Consider the following 14,637-nt stretch of genomic DNA (forward strand, 5'->3'; position numbering starts at 1 on the left):
GCATAGATTATTTACATTTTCAGTTTTATCAATGGATTTTAGTATAGGTTCCTTTTGTTTTGTTTTAGTTTTTAGAGGTATGTACTTGCTCTGTTACTCAGGCTGGGGTACAGGGGCACTATGATAGCTCACTGTAGCCTCAAACTCCTGGGCTCAAGGGATCTTCCTGGCCCAGCCTCCCAAGCACCTAGGACTGCAGGTGCTTGCCATTATGCCCGGCTGATTTTTTAAAACATGTTTTGTAGAGACAGGGTCTCTTTGTGTTACCCAGGCTGGTCTTGAACTCCTGGCTTCAAGAGATCCTGCCACCTCGGCCTCCCAAATTGCTGGGATTACAGGCATGAGCTACTGCATCTAGCCTATATAGGTTTCTTAGAATCAATTTTAGGAGCTTATATTTTTATGGGATACCATTCATTTTAGGTAAATGTTCAGGTATATTAACATCAATTTTAACATAAAATTTTCAAATAGCTTAATTATTCTTAATATGTGGAGATAAAGACCCTACTCCTGAGCCCTGGCATTGTGTTACTTGTGATTTATTTCTTAATTTTTGCTTATGCTTAACAGTAGTTTTTCCTTTTCTTCTTCATTTTCGTCTTTTTAAAGAAGAAGCTTAGTTTTATTTATCAAGTCTGGTTATTTTGACATCTTAGCTTTTATCTTTAATAATTCCTTTCTCCTAAAATATCGATGGTCTACCCTCATACTTATTGATAGCTTTGCTAAGAGAATTCTAGTTCAAATTTTTTTACAAAGAAATAAAAAAGTCATTGCTCTATTATAATAAGAAATGAGATAAAATTGTTCATATCAACAATGTGTTACATACCCAGCGCTGTTGAGTGTGTGAGTAAAAGCCACTTTCAGACACCACTACTGAGAATGCATGTTGGTACAACCATCTGGCAGGCAATTTGACAATATGTATGAACACTTAAAATGGGTATACATTTGAACAAAAAATTGTACTTCTAGCAATTTACACTTGGGAAATTAACTAGATCAGCAAACAAAGATGTATTTACAAGGATAGCCTTTAGAGTATTATTTCTAGTGGTTAAAATTGGGAGATGGATTGAATAAATGATGGCATAGCCATATAATAAAATACTACACAGTCATGAAAAAGAATGTGATAGGTGATGTTTTAAGTTGATATCAAACAGCTGGTTAAACCACAGAAAATATGATTCCATTTATGTAATTATATTACATATAATCTGGAAGTGTGAAGTGTGGCTATTTCTGGAGACAGGCAGTAGATCTTTAACATTCACCATTTTGTGTCATTCTTTCAATAAATATGCCTTATCAGAAAAAAATAATTTTCAGGAAAGAATTCCAGCTGCTTACACATTCTGGATTATATACCATAAGGATTTATTACATGCTATGCTGGGTAGCAGAAGCGATGAGGAAAGGGAGGGTTAGTAGGGTTCTACACTTGGATGGTGAAGAGAAGGTAATGTTTTTGCCTAGAGAACGTAGAGGATTGATGAAAGTTTCTTCCCCCTCACCAGGTAGTAGACACTTCAAGAGATAGGGGAGGAGTCCCCTGGAAACCGAACAAGGGCTGGGTGTCGTGGCTCACACCTGTAATCCCAGCACTTTGGGAGGAAGAGGCAGGTGGATCATGAGGTCCGGAGTTGGAGACCAGCCTGGCCTAAATGGCGAAACCCTGTCTGTACTAAAAATACAAAAATTAGCCGGGTGTGGTGGCGCATGCCTGTAGTCCCAGCTACTCAGGAGGCTGAGGCAGGAGAATCCCCTGAACCTGGGAGGCAGAGGTTGCAGTGAGCCAAGATTGCACGCTGTACTCCAGCCTGAGCGACAGCGTGAAACTGTGTCTCAAACAAAACAAAACAAAACAAAACAAAACCATAAAAAACCAAAAACAAAAAAAACCAACAAGGAGGCAGGACTCTTACTGTGCCCCAAGTTGTCTAGACCTTTTGGGTTTCCTCCAACCCTGAGATCCTGCCTCAGCTTGCTTGCTACGTGTCCTCAACATCTGTCACAAGTGTCCTAAGCTTCTGCCCTTTGAGTCACCCACAATTCCTAAATGTACCTTGCATCTTTGTATCTGTCTGCTTTTCCTGATGTGGTCCTTCCTAAGGAACAGAATATTCCACTTCTCTAGAGAAGAACAAATACCCCTTGGTTCTTCAAGATCTGGTTCATGGTAGATTAGATTATTATTCAGCAAATATTCACTGTTTCTCACTACATATCCATGGAGGAATGTTCTTCCTTTCATCTTGACTTTGAGCTTCTCCATGTGACTTACTTTGGCCAATGGGATGTTAGTACACATGATGTGAGCAAAGGCTTAAAATGTGCTTGCATGTTGGGCTTAGTCTCTTGCATGCCTATTTTTTGCCATGATGACCAGGTAGCCACAGGTACAAGGAGGCCCCAAATGCATGGAACAGACTTGAGCCAAATACATGGCCTGGAGTGCAGCCTGTATAAGCCTAGACAAAGTCAGAGTCAATGCATAGCAAACCTCCAGTCACCTGGATGAGAAACTTACAAATATGTATTGTTCAACACTGAGGTTGCTGCAGTGTTTGTTATGCAGCAGTAGCTGCCAGATGCATAGCTTTCAAGGTCTCTTGCCCTTTATTCTCTGAGTTCTCCCCCCCAAATCCCACCTATAGTACAACTGCTTAAAAGCTGTTATTATACTATATTATGATTATCTGATTGATGTGCTTGTATCCCACATTAGATTATGAACTTCCAAGTGGACGTAAATGTTCTGGGAGAACTTTGAGGAGCTAAAAAACACCTGCCTTGACACTTGTCTTACAGCTAAAAATTGTGATTATTGAGCAAGTTACACCAAGATCTGTGAGCATATATTGCAGCAAGTGAAAAACATAATGCTTGTTTTCATGTTGTCTTTGGGTAATAAAGAGGGGCCAGTCCATTCAACCTATCTTAAATGAGGTAAAAGAATATGGGTGGGCACCATGGCCCACGAATTCTACCCTAGGAGAGGAGTAAAAGAGGCCCAGACACCTCCTTTCTTTGAAGCAGTGAAGTGTTCTAAAAATTACAGGACATCTGAAGCTGTTTAGATATTTTAAAAAAGGAGAAGTCTCAACCAACAGAGACTGAAGGCGGTGTAGGTGAGTGTTCAACGTTGCTTGGTACTGTCTGGGTAAAGAACAAATGGGTGGTGGAATGATCTTTGATCACATTCTGTCTCATAGTACTTAAAAACTTCCATTTTATTTTTGATTTTAAAAATACCAAATACTAAAATTGAGCCCATAAAAAGGACGGAGTCGCCCATGATTCTGGAAAGGCTCTAAATCGCCAAGGTGTGGTCCAAGGTCATTACTAGGCTTGGCACATGTGTTGATGAACAAATTGAGAGATACATTAATATTGAAGTTTGCAGAAAGGGGATTAGGTCCTTAAGAAACCACTTGATCTGCAGAGATATTCAGAATGTGAATGTCTTCAGGGACCCTGGAAAAACACATGACCCCATTTTAAATCTGAAATTGTATGATCTCAAAGAAGTCCAGTTACATGTATGACATTGCTGTAAAAAGTGTTTTTCCAAATATACCTGCAATAAGTCTTAAAAATGTCTGTACCCTTTGACTTAACAATGCCATATCTAGGGAGTACAGCAGCCTGAAGGAATTAATCAGATATGTAGATAGAGATCTAAAGTAATGTTGATTACACGGTTATTTATAATAGCAGAAAACAGTGAACGTGTTAGTACAAACTATATTGAGAAACGTGAGTTTCTGTGGGCACTGCCAAATTTGCTGTGTCATCTGTCTTCAGAGACATAGACCAATTTAATTTAAAGAGGCCAGGACTGGGAGAAGGGATAGGCAGAGGGAAAGGAAGATGTGGTGAGAGACAGAGGAAGGAAGGGACAAGGAGGGAGGCAGGAATGGAGTCAGGGAGAGATGGAGAAAGAAACAAAAACAGAGACAGGGACAGAGACTGTTGAGTGGTATGTGATGAATCAATGTCTGTGCAATAAAGATTCAAAAGGGAGAAAGAGTCAGAGACAAGAGTGGATTCAAAGGCAGGTCCCCCACTCCCTGTTTTCGTTAGAACTCACCGGCCCTGGAGCACCCACTGTTAGGACCCAGGCCACACGGAGGGGACAGCTAGCAGCAGGGCTGTGGAGTGGGAGGGCAGGCAGGAGCAGGGCTATCAGCACAGGCTGCTGAGTCACCAGTGGTCGGGGAGAAGGGAGGAAGTCCCAGGCTATGCTGGCTCTGTTATGGGCTGGGGGAGCAGGGAAGGGGCTCAGGTCATAGGTAGGGGGAAGGATGCTGGATGCTGTGTTCTAAGCCCCGAATTATGGCATTATGGGTGTGGAATTCACTTTCTAATTGCATTACCCACCTTCCATTAACTCCTGTGTTTGCTGTGGGATCCTGTTAATGGATAATCATTAGGAAATCCTGTTTTAGGGTTATAGATGCCTTTGGATAGTTTCTTAGGATGATTTGAGAACTTACCCCTCAGTAATTATTTCAAGTTGATTATTTGCATGCATAATCCAGATCTCAGGGGACATATTTTATTCTTTTCAACCTCTTGGTGGATTGGTGTGTGAGGGGGGTGGGAGTGGGTGGGTGTGGCATGCTCATGGTGGATAATGTCCTTCGGTGGCTCAGAGTTTCTGCTGCCACGGACTGAGTTCAGTTCGGTGGCTCAGAGTTTCTGCTGCCACGGACTGAGTTCAGTTGGAGGATTGCTTTGCTTTTCCATCCCGCTCTTCTGTTCTGCACTGCAGCATCCCAAGCAGCCTTTTCATTGGATACCCTTGCCCCAAACCTCACACCCACACAGTCTGTGTGAGCAGCAGCCTTGCTGAAGGCTCGGTGCAACAGACAGCTTTCACACCCTGCCCAGCCCTTCTCCACCACACACTCCCAGCTCCCTCCTCTCCTTACCACTCCAGGTTCCCTTCAGAGGCCCAGTTCTCTGCCTTGAATTTAAAGAAGCAGTTGAAGTCTCCATCCTTTCCTCACCTCGGAGTCTACCTTGTTACACTCACAGCATCCTTAACGTGACTGATAAACAAAGGGCTACCTGGTTTTTCAATTTTTTAGTAGCAATGAACCAGCAAGGACTCTGAAATAGGAGGCTGTCTTAGGTTGAGTTTTTGGAAGCAGACTCTGAGAAGAGGATTCCTATAAAAATTATTTATTTAAGAAGTGTTCCTAGAAAAAACCAGTTGGGAGTGGGCGGGAAAGTGGGACCAGGAGAGAAAGAAGGCCAGGCAAAGGAACGGCAGCAGGCAGAGTCCGGGGAGGGCTGCTTTGGCTCAGTCTCTCCTGGGAACTCAGCAGACACCTTCCAGTTACCCCCACCAGGGAGCAAGAGCTGGAGGATTGTATTCGTATGTTTGTCAGTCACTTGTTAAGGGCTGTCCCAGGGGTATGTTAATTTCCAGGCTCTTCACCAAGAGATGCAGGTGCAGGCTGTTGGGTGTGAAGGCGCATGGGAAGCTGGTGGACACAGTAAATGGTCCAGGGATCTAAAGGGGCTATGGGCGAGGCACCAACAGTGTCTGCCGTAAGTCTTTCCTTCTTCCCTCCCTTACTCAACTTCATGAGTGGAAAGACAGTTGTGTGAACAATTTCCTCACTGATGTGGGTTCTGCCACTCTGTAGAAAACAAAAGCAGCTTGGTCAGGTGAGGTGGCGCACATCTGTAATCCCAGCACTCTGTGGGGCTGAGGTGGGAGGATTGCTTGATGCGAGGAGTTCAAGACAAGCCTGAGCAACATAGGGAGAGCCCATCTCTACAAAAAGTAGAAAAAAAAAATAAATTATCCTGGTGTTGTGGTGAGCACCTGTGGTCCTAGCTACTTGGGAGGCTGTGGCAGGAGGATTGCTTGAGTCCAGGAGGTGGAGGCTGCATTGAGCTACGATAGTGCTACTGCACTCCAGCCTGGAAAAGAGAGAGACCTGTCTCTAAAAAAAAAAAAAAGCAACAGCTATACTGGAGCTGGCTTGCTTACTCAGGAGGACAAGAGCTACTCCAGGCCCTTCTCCCATTTTCTGACTCCTGTCTGGCATGACTTATCTCTCAGGATGACTGCAGCTTGGGCATCAGAAGAAAGGGGTGAGCATTCACATCAAATCAGGGGTCCGTTCCTCAGAAATTCCACGTGGAGTTGCTCAGCTCCCCTTCTAGATGGGGGCTTCTCTGGTTATCTCTGAGAAAATGCCCCAACCCCACGTCACAGAGCCCTGGGTGCACAGGAGCTACCACACTGTCCTCATTCAGAACCTGCCCTATCTGCCCTGAGTTTGCTAGATGCAAGGGAGCAGGCAACTTATCCTGTTTGAGACACAGCTCTCCTGTTTGGGGCTCTCTGCCCCACACTGGAAGCAAGGTAGCGGGTGTAGTCATTAACCAAGTCCTGCCCTTTTGGGGATCCCTCTGACTGGGGATGGGAAATCTGCTGTTTTCCTCCTTCAGGAACTCAACCTCAGGTCCTGGAGTCATGTCCACCTTGACTCCGGGAGTCCGAGCTGGGGCTGCTATTGTGAACTCTGCTATGCTGGGCTATTTCTCAATAGCACTCAAGATTGCCTCCCTCTCCTTCTTCCCCAGCCTTAACTCCAGTAATGAGGGAATGATGTGGGAGAGGTTTATCCAGATCTTGGCAATCAATGCTTTTCCAATAGACTTTTGCTTGCTCTGAGCTGGATTCTCTTTCCCCAGTTCAACAGCACCTTCCTTAGCTGCTTTTTGTGAAAGTGTCACTGGTCAGAACACACATGCAGACAATTCCTCTTGACTTGCCACATAACTGAATATTGACTGTGTCAGGCAGTCGGCCAGTGGTATGGAGGCCCCTGAAAACCAGAGGCTGCTGCAGACATCGAGTGAGGCCCACAGACTGCCTGCAGTTTCTTATGCTTCTCCCCTCAGGTAGTTGCCCACCTTCTAACATCTCTGCCTCATGGGTAGCGACATTAAAAACATATGCCTTTATATCTTCTTTCTCTCAAAGCCTCAAAATGACAGTGGAGAAATGATAACAAATAAAACCATAAATGTATAAGGACAAAGAGTTTTAGAGAGGATATAGAAATAGATCATGAATGTCAAGAAAATTTTGGAAGGTGATCAATTAAGTCAGTGGTAATTTACTTAGAAGAGCAGAGAAAGTTAAAATTTAAACCTAAAAAGGGGGGTGGTACCCAGTGAAAAGAAGCTAGAAGATTTTTTACTGAAGTATCCCTATTGAAATATCCCTGAAGATGGGGATGAGTGTGATGGACCAGTTAAAAAGGAATTATTTAGGCAGATAGTAAGGGTAAGGAAGTCCTCGGTAAGCTTTTCCTTTTAATGAAAAGCAGCCTCCAAATCATTTTCTTTTCTAACAAAGAGCAGCCAGTAAAATCAAGCTGCAGACATAGAAAGGCAGGCTAGAAGCTTGCATGGGTGAATGCTGGCCATTGTGGCAATAGGAAAGGGGCTACCTGGGGACCAGGTATGTTCAAAATGATGACTCCATCTTCCCTTTTGCTTGCCAACCACGTGTGCAGTCGGGAGCAGACAACATGGCCCCGGGCAGACAAAGACTCCATTTGCATAAAGAAGATTAGGGTGGGGTGGCCGGCTTCCCCACATGCGATATAAACATCACACTTGGTCCAACCAACCTTAGGGCCCTTTCTAAATCAGACACCGCTTCCTCAAGCCTGCCTATGAAACCCTGTGCACTCCGCCGCAGGCCAGAAGTTCCGCTTGGGCGCCTCTCTCTCTTGCAGAAGAGAGAGCTATTTTCCTGTCTCTTTCTTTTGCCTATTAAACCTTCACTTTTTTTTTTCTTTTTTGAGACGGAGTCTTGCTCTGTCGCCCAGGCTGGAGTGCAGTGACGCCATCTCTGCTCACTGCAAGCTCCGCCTCCCGCCCGGCTAATTTTTTTGTATTTTTAGTAGAGACGGGTTTTCACCGTGTTAGCCAGCATGGTCTCGATCTCCTGACCTCGTGATCTCCCCGCCTCAGCCTCTCAAAGTGCTGGGATTACAGGCGTGAGCCACTGCGCCCGGCCGCTAAACCTTCACTCTTAAACTCACTCCTTGTGTGTGTCCGTGTCCTTTATTTCCTTGGCATGGGGCAATGAACCTCGGGTATTACCCCAGACAATGACAAAGCTTCAAGGGGTGGGGCTGAAAAATAGAAGAGACATCTTGGCTATCTGTTTGAGGAAGCAGTGAGGCTCCCAGATGTCTACCCCATTTCTACACAAGCCAGGCAACTATCCCCCCTATAGCTGGAGGGGATGGGACGTTCAAATGAGGAGATGCTGGCGTTTGGGGATGTCAGGTGCAGTTGAGAACAGGGAACTATACTGAAAATGGGCACTAAATGGACACCTACCTGTGGATGGCAAAACCTCCAACTCGCCTTCCCTGCTCAGCAGCCAGCATGATGGCAGAGCTTATAGCCTCCAGGAAGAAGAATGGAAGATTCCTCTGGGGATACTGACTAGGCCAAGAGAAAAGACCTACTAACATAGGTTTCTCCAGTGAAACAGCTGGGTCCCCACCTGATCAGCCTACTGTGAAGTCCACTGGCAGATGAGCCTCACCCATACACACAGAACTCGAAATTAGCATTTTGGTCCCTTTACTATTATGTCTGAGTAGGTAGATTAGCATCACTTGACATCAGAGGGGAGCTTTAACATGAAAGACAGAGGCATAAATGAACCAACCACCCAACCAGCCACAGTAGAGGAAAACAGACTGCAGAAAGCAAAATGAAATTTCAAGAAAATCCTAAACCTTGTAAGTCTGGTATCTATGAAAACTATGAAATAGTAAGCTATACAAAGGAATATATAGCTGGGCATGGTGGCTCATGCCTGTAATGCCAGCACTTTGGGAGGCCGAGGCAGGCGGATCACCTGAGGTCAGGAGTTTGCGACCAGCCTGACCAACATGGAGAAACCCCGTCTCTACTAAAAATACAAAATTAGCCGGACGGTGGCGCATGCTGGTAATCCTAGCTGCTTGGGAGGCTGAGGCAGGAGAATCGCTTGAACCTGGGAAGCAAAGGTTGTGGTGAGCCGAGGTCGTGCAACTGCACTCCAGCCTGGGCATCAGGAGCGAGACTCTGTCTCACACACACACAAAAAGGAATATCCAAAGAATAAAAGCTCTTGAAAATTCAAAATACCATCTATTGGGTAATATGCTCACAACATGGGTGACAGGATCATCTGTAACCCAAACCCCAGCATCATACAATATACCCATGTAATAAACCTGCATATGAACCCCATGAATCCAAAATAAATGTTGAAAAAAAGGAAAATTCAAAATATGATAGCAGAAATCTTAAAAAATCAACGGATGAATTAAAATATAATTTGAGGAATTCTCTGAGATAGTAGAAGAAAAATATAAAGAAACAGAAAATGAAAAGAAAGAAAAGGTAAGAAAATTCAAGGCTTAGACCAGAAGATCTAATAACTAAGTTTCACAAAGAAGAGAGAAAACGAGGGAAAGAAATGATCACATTTGTAGACAAGATAGAATTTTTAAAGAGGGAATAACCTAGTGCCTGTTGTTGGGAAAATACATAACTAAATTGTGGTATCTTCACACAGCAGACTGCTACGCTGCAATAAAAAGGTAGTGAACCAGGTGTATAGGTAATTCTTAGGAACAATGCTGAATGAAAGGCAAACCATGGAAGAGTGCTCTCTCTGTGCAATGCCATTTCTATGACGTTCAAAATCAAGCAAAAGTAAGTGAGGTATAGATTAGCAATGCATACATATTTAGTGAAGCAATAAAAGGAAGCAAGATAATTGGGGAAAAAGTCATGAGGGTGATTATGTAGCTGGTAGGGGGCGAGGCATGGCAGGCAAGGGAGAAGATGGAATGAGATTAGGAAAAGTCAGTACACAATGGTTCAAGGCATTGGTCATGTTCCATCTCCTAAGTTGGGTGCTAGGTTCTTGGGAATTTGTTTTACTATGTTTCATAACTTAAATTACCTGTATGTTAAGTCTCTCTCTCTCTCTCTCGCTCTCGCTCTTTCTCTCTCTCTCTCTCTTTCACACACACACACACACACATCCCAAATAATATAATAAAGTCTCCCTGAATTAAGGATGTGAGTTTTCAGATTAAAAGGGCCTAACAGTCCAGTGCAATGAGGGAGAAAATACTACTCCAAAGCATATGTGAAATTTCAGAGCATCAGAGATAAAGACTATCATAACAGCAGGAAAAATAGCTCACATACAAAAACTAAGAATCAGAATTGCGTTGGTGTTCTCATTAGCAAGACTGGAAATGGAAGACAATAGCCCTTCTAAGATTCTGAAGGAACAAGGTTACTACCTAGAATTCTAGACTCGACAAAGTAATATATGAGAGAGCAGAAGTAAGACACACTCAGACAAGTTAGACCTCAAAAATTTTATCTTCCACCTACCCTTTCTCAAAATGAGAAAATGTACTCCACCAAAAAGAGCCAGTAAATAGAGGAAATCATGGAAACCATGGAAACACAGATTCCAATACAGGAAAGAAACAAAAAGAATATAAAGAATGTTAGTCCAAGGAAGTCCCCCCAAAACTGCTGGAAGTAGGCATAGAGCACAAGAGATCCAGGTTGGAGAAAAACAACAAGAGATCTCCAGGAGAGATTTCTCCATGAAAAACATGCACGTGGTCAGTTTCCTAATATTTCAGTGTACTGAGACAAGATTTACAGTTTTGTGTGGCAGTTTTAAGAAACTAAGCCCCAAACAAACAAACAAAGCAAGAGAGAAAAGAAAAGAAAAAGGAGGCTATTTATTAAGTCCGAAAGTTGTGCAGGAAAGGATATATAAATATATCATGTGGCTCGATAGCATGTAATAGTTATGTAATTCTGATAATGTGAAATATTGACTGAAACAGAAACTATAATATATATGGGAAAATAAAGGCAAGTGGAAGTATGTTTACAGGAATTTCTAAAGTGAAAAGAATCAACCAAAATAGAAGTACAGGCTATATAACTCTGAACCAAAACTAGATGAGCACAATAGAAGACAGGTAATTACAGCCACTTTCACTCATCAGCACAGACACAACAGTTCTAAAGAAAATGTTAGCAAGCTGAATATGGCAGAATCAAGCTGGTCTTACTTTAGTAATGCAAAATCAATCCAACTTAAAAATAATGTATTAATATAAATCATCACAATATAGACTAAAGGAGAAAATCTACATGATTATCTTGATAGGCACGGAACAAATATTTGATGAAACTTAGCAGTTAAGTTAAAAACAATCTTAGCCAACTAGAAGTAGGAAATTTCTTTAACTTGATGAAAACCCTCTAATAATTTACATCAGATAGAATGCATAATAATAAAGTTTTAAAAGGATTCACTTTGAAATCGGGAAGATGACAAAGGTGTCCTCTAATACCTTTCTATCCAACATTGTATTTGGAGAGCCTAGCCAGTGAAGACAAGAAAAAGAAATAAAACTGCGTCACCCTTAAAAGAACCTTTCTGAGAACATTGGGCCCACCTGGATAATCCAGAAACCTCTCTGCACCTTAAGATCCTTAATATAGTCACATATACAAAGTCCATTTTGTCATGTAAAGTACCATAGTCACAGATTTGGGGGATTGGGACATGAACATTTTTGGGGGGCTGTTATTTTGCCTATTGCATATGACTCACATCACTTCCATGTAATTATTCACAGGTTATATGATTGTTTACATAGAGAAAGCCAAGATAATTGACAAAAAGGCTTTTAGAATCAATAGGAGAGTTTAGCAAATTGATTCAATTGTTTTCAAGCAGTTCAGACACAGAAAATACAATTTTAAAAAAGATGTCATTTATAACGTCAAGAAAGAAAGGATAAAGTACCTTGCAATAAAGCTAACAAAAGAGGTTTAAAACCTTTATGAAAAAATTCTAGAAAGTGATGAAAAAATCTTAAGTATAACCTATTAAATAAACAGAAAAACATATTATGAACGTGGACATAAAAATGTAATATCATAAAGATGTCAATTCTCCACAGGAATATATAGATTTTATTGCAGTTCTCTTTTTATTTTATTTTATTATTTTTTTTGAGACAGAGTCTCGCTCTGTCACCCAGGCCGGAGTGCAGTGGCACGATCTCGGCTCACCACAACCTCCTCCTCCCAGGTTCAAGTGATTCTCCTGCTTCAGTCTCCCGAGTAGCTAGGACTACAGGCGCTCCACCACGCCCAGCTAATTTTTTGTATTTTAGTAGAGATGGGGTTTCATCATGTTTGGCCAGCTGGTCTCGAACTCCTGAGCTCAGGCAATCTGCCCACCTCAGCCTCCCAAAGTGCTAGGATTACAGGTGTGAGCCACTGTGCCCAGCCGACTTTACTGCAGTTCTAATCAACATTCTAACATTTCTTTGGAACTTAAGCTGATTCTAAAATGTAAATAGAAATGTATAAGAACAGATAAGACACAGTGAGAAGTAGAAAATGGGTGGACTCACCCTAGGATACAACAAGACATATCAAGTATGGTAATTAAGGCAGTATGGGCCTGGCATCATGGCTCACGCCTGTAATTCCAGCACTTTGGGAGGCTGAGGCAGGCAGCTCACCTGAGGCTGGGAGTTCGAAACCAGCCTGACCAACATGGAGAAACCCCATCTCTACTGAAAATACAAAATTAGCTGGGCTTGGAGGCGCATGCCTGTAATCCCAGCTACTCAGGAGGCTGAGGCAGGAGACTCACTTGAACCCGGGAGGCCAAAGTTGTGGTGAGCTGAGATCGTGCCATTGCACTCCAGCCTGGGCAACAAGAGCGAAACACTGTCTCAAAAAAAATAAATAAATAAATAAAAGAAAAAAAGAAAAATAAAAGGGTGCCATTGAAACAAAGATATGTAACTGGACCATCAGAACAGAATACAGAGCCCAAAAACACACCCATAGATTGATATCTGATATAAATGACACAGCAACATTGCAGGTAAGTGGAGAAAAGATAGGCTTTTCAAAAAGTGATGAGTAATTAGTTACTCATATAGAAAAAATAAAACAAAATTGGAATTCTCAGACCAAATAAAATTCCAAGTGGAATTCAGGAACCTAGTTAGAAAACTTTTAGAATGTGGGAATATATCTACGCTCTTAGGTTAAAGATTTACTAAAATACAAAAAACACAACTCATAAAGAAAAAGGTTGATAGTTAACATCAATGAAATTAGAAACACCTGAGTTCTGAAAACCATCATTAACGTGGTGAAAAGGTGATGGGCATGGTGGCTCATGCCTGTAATCCCAGCAGTTTGGGAGGCTGAGGTGAGAGGATTGCTTGAGGCCAGGAGTTCGAGACCAGCCTGAGAAACATAGTGAGACTCCATCTTTACAAAAAAAAAAAAAAAAAAAAAAGAAGAAGAAAGAAATATCTAACTCCAGATTGGGGGAAAATGTTTGCAATATACATAATTGACAAAGGATTTGAATCCAGAACATATAAATAACTCATAAATCGATAATTTAAAAAAAACTGGAAAATGGGTAAAAGTCAAACAGGTAAATCTTAGAATAAGAAACCAAAATGGACAATAAATATATGAAAAGATAATCTCATGAAGAATCAGAGAAGCGCACACTAAGCCACAATAAAATACCATTTTAAATCCATCCAATTGGGAAAATGGAAAAGTCTGACAATTTCAGATGTTGGTAGCCAGATGGAGCAATGGGAACTCTCATACACTGCAGAAGTAAGTGTAAATTGGCAAGAGCACTTTGGAGACTCAGCAAGCAATATCTAAAGCTCAAGGTGCTTATGTCCTGCAACTCAGCACTACCATTCCTAACATGTACAAGAGGAGACATTTGCAAGAAAGTTCATTGTAACATTGTTTGTAACAATAAAAAAAGAGAAAAATCACCCAAATGTCCACCAACAGGCAAATGGGTACATACATTGTGGTATATTCATATAATGAGACAAAAAGAAATTAATGAACCAACAAAAGAAATTAATGTACAACAAAAGAAATTAATGAACCACAGCTAGATGTGTCATTATGAATTACTGTCAAAAACATAATGTTAAGTTAAAAAAACAAGTTTCAGAAAGTATTTACCATTTTTATAAAACTTAAAAACATGAAAAGTAATATATATTTTACAATAGAGACATATATCTATTAGGCTGGTGCTTTTTTGTTTTTCGAGATAAGAGTCTCGCTCTGTCACCCAGGCTGGAGTACAGTGGTGCGATCTCGGCTCACTGCAACCTCCACCACCCGGGTTCAAGCGATTCTCCTGCCTCAGCCTCCCGAGTAGCTGGGATTACAGGCATGCACCACCACACCCGGCTAATTTTTGTATTTTTAGTAGAGGCGGGGTTTCGCTATGTTGGCCAGGCTGGTCTCAAACTCCCGACCTCAGGCAATCTGCCTGCCTCGGCCCTGCAAAGTGTTGGGACTACAGGCGTGAGCCACTGCGCCTGGCCCGAAAACTGCAATTACCTTTGCAGCAACCTAATAGCAAAAGTATAAAAATATGTATAGGAATAACAAATACCAAATTCAGGATGTGGTTCCCTTTTGGCAGGAAGGAATGAACTCAAGGAGGGTAAC

General features: G+C 42.1%; 3 annotated features.

The window, feature by feature from the left end:
* Positions 4,142–4,286: an enhancer, noted in NCBI's record as "145 bp enhancer 172 fragment used in the MPRA reporter construct". NCBI's record gives its function as "activates an SV40 promoter by MPRA in K562 cells {active_cell/tissue: K562}" and the evidence as "EXISTENCE:reporter gene assay evidence [ECO:0000049][PMID:23512712]".
* Positions 4,209–4,219: a transcriptional cis regulatory region, noted in NCBI's record as "NFE2L2 motif; enhancer activity is reduced when this motif is scrambled". NCBI's record gives its function as "necessary for full MPRA enhancer 172 activity {active_cell/tissue: K562}" and the evidence as "EXISTENCE:site-directed mutagenesis evidence [ECO:0005528][PMID:23512712]".
* Positions 7,887–8,026: an enhancer, noted in NCBI's record as "active region_17896". NCBI's record gives its function as "activates an Ori minimal core promoter by ATAC-STARR-seq in GM12878 lymphoblastoid cells {active_cell/tissue: GM12878}" and the evidence as "EXISTENCE:reporter gene assay evidence [ECO:0000049][PMID:35858748]".

This window comes from Homo sapiens, chromosome 20 (assembly GCF_000001405.40).
Source record: "Homo sapiens chromosome 20, GRCh38.p14 Primary Assembly".
Lineage (NCBI taxonomy): Eukaryota > Metazoa > Chordata > Mammalia > Primates > Hominidae > Homo > Homo sapiens.